The 11,303-nt window shown below is 39.4% G+C and overlaps 1 pseudogene across 21 annotated transcripts in view; it reads right to left on the bottom strand.

Moving 5' to 3' along the window:
* TSTD3 (thiosulfate sulfurtransferase like domain containing 3) overlaps positions 1-11,303 on the bottom strand; it is a 66,727-nt pseudogene that overhangs the window by 46,572 nt on the left and 8,852 nt on the right. For 7 of the 21 annotated variants that reach the window (NR_197373.1, NR_197383.1, NR_197367.1 and 4 more), the window contains 2 exons: positions 9,668-9,841; positions 9,414-9,572 (listed from right to left, as the gene is read on the bottom strand). The product of NR_197373.1 is annotated as a thiosulfate sulfurtransferase like domain containing 3, transcript variant 7 (transcript). Of the gene's footprint in view, positions 1-5,654; positions 9,573-9,667; positions 9,842-11,303 lie in introns of those variants that run through there. The other 14 variants (NR_197380.1, NR_197375.1, NR_197371.1 and 11 more) reach the window with 4 other exon arrangements.

Genomic DNA, 11,303 nt, shown 5'->3' with positions numbered 1-11,303 from the left:
CTCCTCTATATTTTCTGTAAATTGGTAATTGAATCTACAGGCTTGATCAGATTCAGGCTTGCTTGTTTGCTTGCTTCCTTTTTTTCTGTCTTTTTTTTTTTTTTAGTAGACCACTGTACAAATTAAGTAGTGGTCTTTAATCAGGAGACATAAAGTGGCTGGGTTTCTCTATGATTTAATAGCAGCCATTGATGATATGTATTGTTTTTAAAAATCCAATATTACCATAGTTGTCCAGTATGATAGCTACTAGCCACATGTGGTTATTGAACACTTAAAACGTGGCTAGTGTGAATTGAGATGTGCTGTAAATGTAAAAATATATGTTGGGTTTCAAATAGTACAAAACAAAATAATATAAAATCTCTAATTTGTTTATAATGATTACATATTTTAAATATTTTGGATACATAGGATTAAATAAAACATTAAAATTAATTTCACTTTCTTTTTAAATTTTTTAAGTGTAAGATTTAAAATCATGTAATGGTTTGCATTAAAATTATATTGGGCCAGGTGCAGTGGCTCACGCCTGCAATCCCAGCACTTTGGGAGGCCGAGGCAGGTGGATCACCTCAGGTCAGGAGTTCAAGATCAGCCTGGCCAACATGGTGAACCCCCATCTCTACTAAAAAATAAAAAAAATTAGCCAGGCTTGGTGGCAGGTGCCTGTAATCCCAGCTACTCAGGAGGCTGAGGCAGGAGAATTGCTTGAACCTGGGAGGCAGAGGCTGTGGTGAGCTGAGATCATGCCACTGCACTCTAGCCTGGGCAGCCTGGATAATGGAATGAGACTCTGTCTCAAAAAAAAAAAAAAAAAATTCTATTGGACAGTGTTGCTGTAAGACATTATAGAGAAAATGTTAGACCCCTGTCCTGTTCTCCCTACCTCTCATTCCCATTCTCCAGAGGCAGCCACTTTCAACTTTTAGTCACTTCTCTGCTGTTTACTTCATTTCCAAGTGACAAGGTTTTAATTATAACATTTATTTGAACACTTATTAAAAATGTGCCAATTATGTTCTAAGCTCTCTGCATTTATGAAGTAAATTCTTAGAATGATCATTTTAAAAATGATGAAACTCTGGAGCAGAAATATTAAGTAATTTACCCAGTCACAGATTAACTAAGTGACAGAGCTTGGATTAGATTCTAATTCTTAGTATCTGGGCATTTGATCAGACGTGGTGGCTCACGCCTATAATCCCAGCACTTTGGGAGGCTGAGGCAAGAGGATTGAGGCCAGGCATTCGAGACCAGCCTGGGCAACAAAGCGAGACTCTGTATCTGTTTATTAAAAAATAAATAAAGCATTTTTTAAAACCTGGGCATCTAATCTCCAAATATATTAGCATATTGCCTCCTCTGCTTACAATCCCCTCATTTTTTCTTTTTAATTATAAATATTATCTAACTCTCTGCTATGGAAGATGAGGATTTTGCTTTTCATACTTCTCCCCCTATTCTCCTTCCCCAACCTGATCTTACACTGGGACTTCTACTCCTATCATCACTTAATTGTATAATTTTTTTAAATTCATATCGAATATATAAATGTACATAGATAATATTGTCTTCTATAGCATACCATGATTACATTTTCTTTCTTTTATAATATTTTTGTATCTCTGGAAGTAGTAATTGCCTTGGTTGTAATTTGTTCAACTTCATTTGTATCTTCTATTAATTGATCATCAGAATCGTTTGTCATTTTTTATTCTCCAAATCACAGGGAGACTTCTTCGAGTTCTACGGCCCTCAGTCAGGACTGACTACTGTCCAAATAACACAGTTGTCATAACAGAATTGATCATATTGGGACTTCCCTTTGTTTTCTCTTGCATTTAAGAGATATGGGGAATCCAAGTCTTTTTCTTTCACGATAGATAAGGTCTCCCTCTCTCACCCAGGTTGTAGTGCAGTGGCACGATCACAGCACACTGTAACCTTGAACTCCTGAGTTCAAGCAATCCTCCACTTCAGTGTCCTGAATAGCTAGGACTATGGGTGCACAGCTAATTTTTAAATTTTTTGTGGAAATAGAGGTCTCACTGTGTTTTCCAGGCTGGTCTCAAACTCCTGGCCTCAAGTGATCCTCCTACCTCGACCTCCCAAAGCCCTGGGATTACAGGCATAAGCCACTGTACTTAGCTGGTAATCCAAGTCTTTTAAGTAGTACCTTGTTCTGGAGAGTGCAATGGCTTCTCAAAATTCTAAGGATATTAACTTAGGTTTTTTGGTTGTTTTAAAATTTTCTTTGTTCCCTGCATTAACACTACAGGTTGAGCATCCATAATCTGAAAATCTAAAATCCAAAATGCTCCAAAATCCGAAACTTGAGTGCCAACATGATGCCACAAGTAGAAAATTCCCTATCTGATTTTATGAGATGGGTCAAAACTTTGTTTCATGCACACAATTATTTCAAAATACTGTATAAAATTAACTCCAGGCTATTTGTATTAAGTGTACATGAAATATAAATGAATTTTGTTTAGACTTGGGTCCCATCCCCAAGCTATCTCATTATATATAGGCAGATATTTCAAAATTTGAGACACTTCTGGTCCCAGCTGTTTCAGATAAGGGCTATTAAACCTGTATTTCCTTTAAGTTCCTTTTTGCTGTTTGGTTTGGTCATAGTCTTTCAAGTTAGAAGCTTGGCCGTAATTATCTCAGGATCCTTCATATTTGAGAGACACAGAGAAAGCTATCTGGAACATCTCTGTGTACATGGGTAGGACTTTTCAGTGGTGAGCTTCATTATAGGTAAGGGAACAGCAAAACATTTTCCTCAGCCTCACACCCCCAGCATTGTTTTTTAAAGGTTTTTCTTCAGGATGGGTCAGTTTTTCTGGAGAGAAATCTATCTCAGGTAGTAGGAGCTGAGCTGTCAGTTCTCAGAGACGAAATAAGGCAAGAAGCTAGCTCATTGTTCAGTATGCAGAGTTTCACTTTATCTCCTTGTTTTCAGTAAGGAGTCCACTGCCATTTCGGCCCCCAGATGTTTAGGAGTTTTCACCTGCCATCTTTACCCATTAATGTTAAATTAATGCAAACAGTAACACAAAATATCAGCTGCCTACAAACAGGTATCATATTGTACATATTCACACAGTAAGAATAGCAGCAAAGTATTAAATATTTGACATGTTATCTGATTTAATCTTCAAAACTTTACTGTGAAGTAGGAACTATTATTATCCTTATTTGGATTCACTTCAACCACATTCTGCCATTATAATACCTTATTGGCCGGGTGTGGTGGCTCACGCCTATAATCCCAGCACTTTGGGAGGCCGAGGCGGGCGGACTGCCTGAGCTCAGGAGTTCGAGAACAGCCTGGGCAACACAGTGAAACCCTATCTCTACTAAAATACAAAAAATTAGCCAGGTGTGGCCAGGCGCGGTGGCTCACACCTGTAATCCCAGCACTTTGGGAGGCCGAGGTGGGCAGATCACCTGAGGTCAGGAGTTTGAGACCAGCCTGGCCAACATGGAGAAACCCCATCTCTACTAAAAATACAAAATTAGCCAGGCGTGGTGGCAGGTGCCTGTAATCCCAGCTACTCAGGAGGCTGAGTCAGGAGAACTGCTTGAACCCGGGAGGCGGAGGTTGTGGTGAGCTGAGATCGCGCCATTGCACTCCAGCCTGGGCAACAAGAATGAAACTTCACCTCAAAAAAAAAAAAAAAATTAACCAGTTGTGGCAGTGTGCACCTGTATTCCCAGCTACTTGGGAGGCTGAGGCAGGAGAACTGTTTGAACCCGGGAGGCGGAGGTTGCAGTGAGCTGAGATGGAGCCACTGCACTCCAGCCTGGGCAAGAGAGCGAGACTGTCTCAAAAATAATAATAATAATAACTTATTAAAATTTCTCTTTTTCTTCTTATCCTTTGCTCCTGGAGAAACTTGTAGCATTAAAAAGTGGTAGTGATAAAATTATATTTTTCCATTAATAAATTGCTATTTTTGGGGACACCGAAAAATATTTTTTACTGGACGGTAGGATAAGCATTCAATTTTTTGTGTCTAATCATACAAAATTTCTCATAGATTAGCTGCTGATCCTACCTCTATCCAGTATTTCTATGGCATACACATTCTAGATAGCAAAGGGGCACATTATCTCAGAATCCAAGAAACCCCACTGAGATCATAAGCACAGAAGAAAGATTATGTGAATGAAAGAAACCTGAGATATTTTGATTAATTTAGAACTCTGAGGCTATCCACTGTTGCCAGTTTTTTCAGGACATCTTTCTCCTATTCCATTATGAAAGAGATGTAGAGTACATATAGCATTTAAAAATATAATCTGGCTTTTCTCATACATATCTGAAACTTTTGATCTACCCTTATATTATCAAAGTAAAAGTGATATTCTCCCATTACTGAAATAAACAGACATTTATTAAATGATGTAGTAAATCATATGCTGTATATTCACATTTTGAGGTCTCTGATACTACAGACCTTAATAATGGTTTTACTCATAAGAGTTTTGTTGGCATAAGGCCAGGTGCTGTGGCTCACGCCTGTAGTCCCAACACTTTGGGAGGCCAAGGCAGGGTGATTACTTGAACCCAGGAGTTTGAGACCAGCCTGGGAAACATGGTGAAACCCCACTTCTACAAAAAATAGAAAAATTAGCTGGCTGTGGTGGTATGTGCCTGTTGTCCTAGCTACTCAGGTGAGCTTCCCAGGAAGTCAAGCTGCAGTGAGCTGTGATCATGCCACTGCACTCCAGCCAGGAGACAGAGTGAGACCCTGTCTTAAAAAAAAAAAAAAAAAGACTGTTGTATAAGTCAGTGCAGTTTAAAAAGTATAATTTGTCCAGAAGCAGAGGTTGCAGTGAGCGGAGATAGCACCACTGCACTCCACCCTGGGAGAAAGAGCGAGACCCTATCTCAAAAAAAAAAAAAAAAAAAAAAAAGGCTGGGTGTGGTGGCTCACGCCTGTAATCCCAGCACTTTGGGAGGCTGAGGTGGGTAGATCACAAGGTCAGGAGATCGTGACTATCCTGGCTAACACGGTGAAACCCTGTCTCTACTAAAAATACAAAAAAAATTATCTAGGCATGGTGGCGGGTGCCTGTAATCCCAGCTACTCGGGAGGCTGAGGCAGGAGACTGGTGTCAACCCAGGAGGTGGAGCTTGCAGTGAGCCAAGATCATGCCACTGCACTTCAGCCTGGGCAGCAGAGTGAGACTCCGTCTCAAAAAAAAAAAAAAAAAAAAAAACCATATATATATATATATATATATATATATATATATATATATATATATATATATGTATATACACACATAAAATTTGTTAAATCTTTGTATCAGAATGACAACTAAAATTGTCTTTCTAAGTTCGATCTAATATAGAAGATACATTATTCTAATTTATTAACCCTTTGTTTATTTGGGTAAATAGAATACATTATCAAGTTTTTTTCTTAAAAAAAAAAAAAAAAGGGTACCAGGAATCCAAAGGTATATAGTCTTGTTCAAGTGTAGCCAAGTGGGGACAACAGTCCCTGTCCCATGCATACAAAAGGTAAAAATAAGTGCTTACCTACCAAACATATTAAATAAAATTGTCAACAATACTGTTAAAGCCTATTGTGTTCGTCTCCCTTCCCCCATTAGAAACCATTCAGAAGTAGATATTTTTATAATTTATTTATACTTACACTATATATGTCCATATGCCTAAATAATAATATATTTTGTATGTTTAAAAACTATACTGGCCAGGCATGGTGTCTCATGCCTGTAATTCCAGTGCTTTGGGAGGCAGAAGCAGTAGGATCAGTTGAGGCTAGGAGTTCGAGACTAACCTGGGCAACATAGCGAGACCCTGTCTCTACAGAAAGTGAAAAAACTATCCAGGTGTGGTGGTGCGTGCCTGTAGTCCCAGCTATTCTGGAGGCTGAGGTGGGAGGATTGCTTCAGCCCAGGAGGTATAGGTTGCAATGAGCTGTGATCTTGCCACTGCATTTCAGCCTGGGTAACAGTGAAAAAGCTTGTCTTAAAAAACAAACAAACAAACAAAAACTATACAGTATATGTTTCTGTAATTTGCTTTTTTCCCTCAACATTGTAAGAGTCATCCATGTTAATACATGTACCTCTGATTTTTCCATTTTCACTAATCCTGTCATCAGGTGTGTCTAATTGGCCATTAAACCTATCTACCTTCTATTGGGTGTTTAATTTCAGTTACTGTAATTTTGTTATCTAAGTTACTGAATATATTAATCACAGTTATTTTAAAGTCTGTGTCTGAAAACTCCAATCTGTAGATCTTCTGTGGATTTGTTTCTCTTGTCTTGTTTTTCCATTATTTCTCAATCATAAGGTCCTATTGACTGCCGTGCCTATTAATTTTTGATAGAATACCTGAAATTGTATGTGAAAATTGTAAGGTGAAATTGTATGTGAAAAATTGTAAGGAAAATTTGTGGCTGTAGCTCAGGGATCTACAAATTATGCCCCATGGACCAAATCTGACCTGCTACCTGTTTTTGTCTGGCTTTAAGAATGTTTGCTGTATGTTTAAATGATTGAAAAATAATCAAATGAAGAATAATATTTGGCAACACATGAAACATAAAATTCAAACCTAAGTGGCCATAAGTAGAGTTACTGGAATAGTCACATTATATATTGTCTGTGGCTGCTTTTGTGCTGCAACAGCAGAGTTGAGCAGTTGCAACAGAAACCTAATTGGCCACAAGACTAAAAGATTGATTATTGCCAACCTCTGTTCTAGCTAGATAATGGTATCTTTCTCTAGAGAGGATTTACTTCTGGTAGGCCCTTAAGATATTAGGAAGATCACCTTAATTCATTCAGGGATTTAATTGATTCAAAGCTTGTTTTGAGTTCTTGTGGGGGTTGTGAATTTCTGGTTCAACTCTACTTCTAGGGCATAGCCTTTTCAGGATTCCGACTAAAAGCCTGATGTATTTACCCACAATCCTGTTCCTTGATGGGCCCAGTACTTCAATGTTGGTTCATTGTCTACAACTTTCCTTCTCCCTGAGATTATGGCTCTTATATATGTGTATGTGTGTGTGTGTGTATATATATATATCTTGACCTCAGTCAAGATACAGAACATTTCCATCACCCTAGAAAGTTCTCTCCTTGCCTTCATATATGTGTGTGTGTATATATGTATATGTATATGTATACATATGTATATATGTGTATATATACACACACATATATGTGTATATATACACACACACACACTGACAGAAATATATATATTTCTGACATTGTCCTTATAGGTACTACAAGAATGACTGCATGAGTGAGTCTAAAAATACACTACATGGGTCTAAAGAGGCACAGACAAGAGAAAACAGGTTTATTTTGCCACCAGTGCATTAGCACACTAATTAAGTGTAGGACTTAACATTCCAAAGGAATATACCCATGCTAGTGGGAGTCATTTACATTTAGGCATTTCTGTTTTCATTATTTTTAAACTGAGGTATAATCACTTACCAAAAATGTACATTTAAGTGTTTAATGTGTTTTGACAAATGTATATACCTATGTACCAATACCTCAGTCAAGATACAGAACATTTCCATCACCCTAGAAAGTTCTCTCCTTGCCTTTTTTGTTTGTTTTTTTGTTTTTCAATTTTGTTGTTGTTGTTGTTCTGAGACAGGGTCTCACTCTGTCACCCAGGCTGGAGTGCAGTGGTGTGATCTTCCAGTGTTTAAGGGATCCTCCTGCTTTAGCCCCCCAAGTGGCTGGGACCACAGGCACGTGCCACCATGCCTGGCTAATTTTTTGTATTTTTTTTGTAGAGACTGGGTTTCACCATGTTGCCCGGGTTGGTCTTGAACTCCTGAGCTCAAGCGATCTGCCTGCCTAGGCATCCCAAAGTTCTGGGATTATAGGCCTGAGCCACCCTCCTTGCCTTTTCCAGTTAATCTTCTTCCCTCTAGAACAGCAACCACTGTTCTGATTATCCCCATACTAATAATTTTTATTTTATTTATTTATTTTGTGTGTGTGTGTGTGTGTGTGTGAGACGGAGTCTCACACTGTCACCAGGCTGGAGTGCAGTAATGCAATCTTGGCTCACTGCAACCTCCGCCTCCCGGATTCAAATGATTCTCCTGCTTCAGCCTCCCGAGTAGCTGGGACTACAGGCACCCGCCACCATGCCTGGCTGATTTTTTGTATTTTAGTAGAGACGGGGGGTGGTTTCACCATGTTGGCCAGGATGGTCTTGATCTCCTGACCTCATGATCCACCCTCCTCGGCCTCCCAAAGTGCTGGGATTATAGGCATGAGCCACCACAACTGGCCCAATTTTAATTTTTTAAATTGCAAATTTCATCACTACCATGCTGGTCATAATACTGCTATAAATCTTTAGAAGCTGTTAATGTATTTTCATTGTTCAAATTTCACCTACTTCTCTGGATCCCAGATTAACTGATTTTTTTTTAAGGCCACATCTGCGTGTTAATCTGCAGGTCTAGCTCATAGCCCCTTTGATGAATAGAAGGTATACTAACACAAATGTCATACATGAGTAGGTAGTATAAGTAACCTGGTATTTTAGAATACTATTGAATGATACTAAGCTACTTAAAAATTAATTCATAGAATCCTGACCCTTATATTTCCATGGCAAGTAACATGCATTATCTCAGGGGAGAGTGCCATTTTCAATTTACAGATGAGAAAATGATTCAACAACTAATTGACTTATACAAAAATCCCCTTACCATAACCAGTGGTGCCAGGACTAGATTTTTAATATTTTGCTCATTCCACTATCCTAGGCTGCATGTACACAAGGAAAGAGCCAACTTGTATTCCAAAAATTCAATTTCCTTGTTTCTTCTCTGAAAATTCACAGGTTACCCATTCTTTCCATCCTCTGGCATAGTGTTAAGCACTGAAAACATACATCAAATAGTGCTATAAACATTTTTTTTTTGAGATGGAGTCTCACTCTGTTGCCAGATCGGAGTGCAGTGGTGCGATCTCGGCTCACTGCAACCTCCGCTTCCCAGGTTCAAGCGATTCTCCTGCCTTAGCCTTCCAAGTAGCTGGGACTACAGGAGTGTGCCACCATGCCCAGCTAATTTTTGTATTTTTAGTAGTGACAGGGTTTCACCATGTTGGCCAGGGTGGTCTTGATCTCCTGACCTCGTGATCCACCTGCCTCGGCCTCCCAAAGTGCTGGGATTACAGGCGTGAGCCACCACGCCTGGCCGCTATTATCTCTAAATTGAGTAAGATGAAAAGAGGCTCTTAGTTTTGCTATCCTGCCTTTACTGACAGTAATTACAAGAAATTCTTAAATAGACATATAAAAATGTAATATATATGAAACATTGGATTATACATTTATCAATCCATTTTTTCATTCATCTACACACCTGTGAAAGCCCAGAGATATTGCTGTGTCCAGGGCCTTCTTGCTTCTCACTCCGGCTAAATAAGAAAACACTAGCTGTCAGATTTGGATGGTTTTACTTCATTGTACTTCTCTTTGAAGTCTCTTGGATTCATCTGTAGAGCTTCACCTACTTCATCCACTGAAAGAAAATGTTAAGAATTTCAGTTAGATTTTAGATATAGTAAATTATTTATATGTTTTTTAATAAATTAATTTAAGACACATGTCACTTACATGGTACATTGATAGACTCAGGGATTTTTTGATACTCCAGAATTTCCCATATCTCTCTAACATCAATTAACATAATATTTTTAGAATTCAACAGGTTTTTAAGTTCCTTATAAGTGACATCTTTAGAAATAGCAGTATAAAAATTGTGGCAGTTTCCCTTTATTGACGTCAAACCTGGAAAAAATAAACAATTTAGGCAACTTCAAAGTGATATCACTATTAACAGCTGGAAAGAATAGGTTAAAAGAATTTCCCCCTGGTTCCAGTCAGTTAACTATAGTTAATTTTTTTGCTTTAATAAACTATGTATTCTAGGTATGTATTTTGCACAGTGACATAATAAATACACATTTGGTCTCTGCTCCTGGTTCCTGATACAAAAGCTCCTAAAACCCTTATAATTTCCTGAGTGATGGGGGTGGGGGGGGTGCTAGGAGCATCTTTTGTTTTAATGAATTTCATTTTTTACTCCACTTCCTGACACAGAGCTCCCAAATCCCTTGGAATTTCCTGGGTGATAGATTCTTTTGTTCTAATGAAGTGACTCTTGGTGGGTTCATGGATAGCTTCAGGATGGGGGCTGGTCACCAGAAAGACCCAACTATGATTAGAAGCTTGGAACTCAGCCCCATTCTCATCCTCCAGGAGGTAAGAGCAGCTGGAGACTCAGTTAATAACTGATGACTACATGATGAAGTTTCCATAAATATCTCTGATGGGGTTCAGAGAGCTTCTGGTTGGTGAACACATTCAAGTGCTGGGAGGATAACACACCCCAACCCCATAGGGACAGAAGCTACTGTGCATGGGACCCTTCTAGACTTCCCACTAGGTACGTCTTCTTCTGGCTGTTTATCTGTATTTTTTATTATATTCTTTCAAATAAATCAATAAATTTGTTTCTCTGACTTCTTTGAGCAGTTCTAGCAAAGTATCAAACCCAAGGAAGGGGTTAAGAGAACCCCCGATTTACAGCTAGTTGGTCAGAAGAGTGGGAGGCCTGGACTTGTGACTGGCATCTGAGGTAGGGGCAGTCCTGTGGGACTGAACCCTTAGGCTCTGGGGTCTGTGCTAACTCTGGGTAGTTAGTTCAAAATAAAATTTTAGAACATCCAGTTAGTGTCCACAGAGAACTGGAGAATTACTTGGTTGTGGAAAACCCATACATCTGATGTCAAAAGTGTTGTGAGAGTACAGAAAAGAATTTTTCAGCCAGGCATGGTGGCTTATGCCTGTAATCCCAGCACTTTGGGAGGCTGAGGTAGGAGGATCTCTTCAGCCCGGGAGGTGGGGTTGCAGTGAACCAAGATCACATCACTGCACTCCAGCCTGGAGGATACAGTGAGAACCTGTCTCAAAAAAAAAAAAAAAAAAAAAAAAAGGCCAGGTGTGGTGGCTCACGCCTGTAATCCCAGCATTTTGGGAGGCCGAGGCGGGTGGATCGCCTGAGGTCAGGAGTTCAAGACCAGCCTGACCAACGTGGTGAAACCCCATCTCCACTAAAAATACAAAAATTAGGTGTGGTGGCAGGTGCCTGTAATCCCAGCTACTCGGGAGGCTGAGGCAGGAGAATTGCTTGAACCTAGGGGGCAGAGGTTGCAGTGAGCTGAGATCGTGCCATTGCACTCCAGCCTGG

Source organism: Homo sapiens, chromosome 6, assembly GCF_000001405.40.
Source record: "Homo sapiens chromosome 6, GRCh38.p14 Primary Assembly".
NCBI lineage: Eukaryota > Metazoa > Chordata > Mammalia > Primates > Hominidae > Homo > Homo sapiens.
Note: the sequence above shows the minus strand (reverse complement) of the source record. Positions and strands in the feature narration are given on the sequence as shown.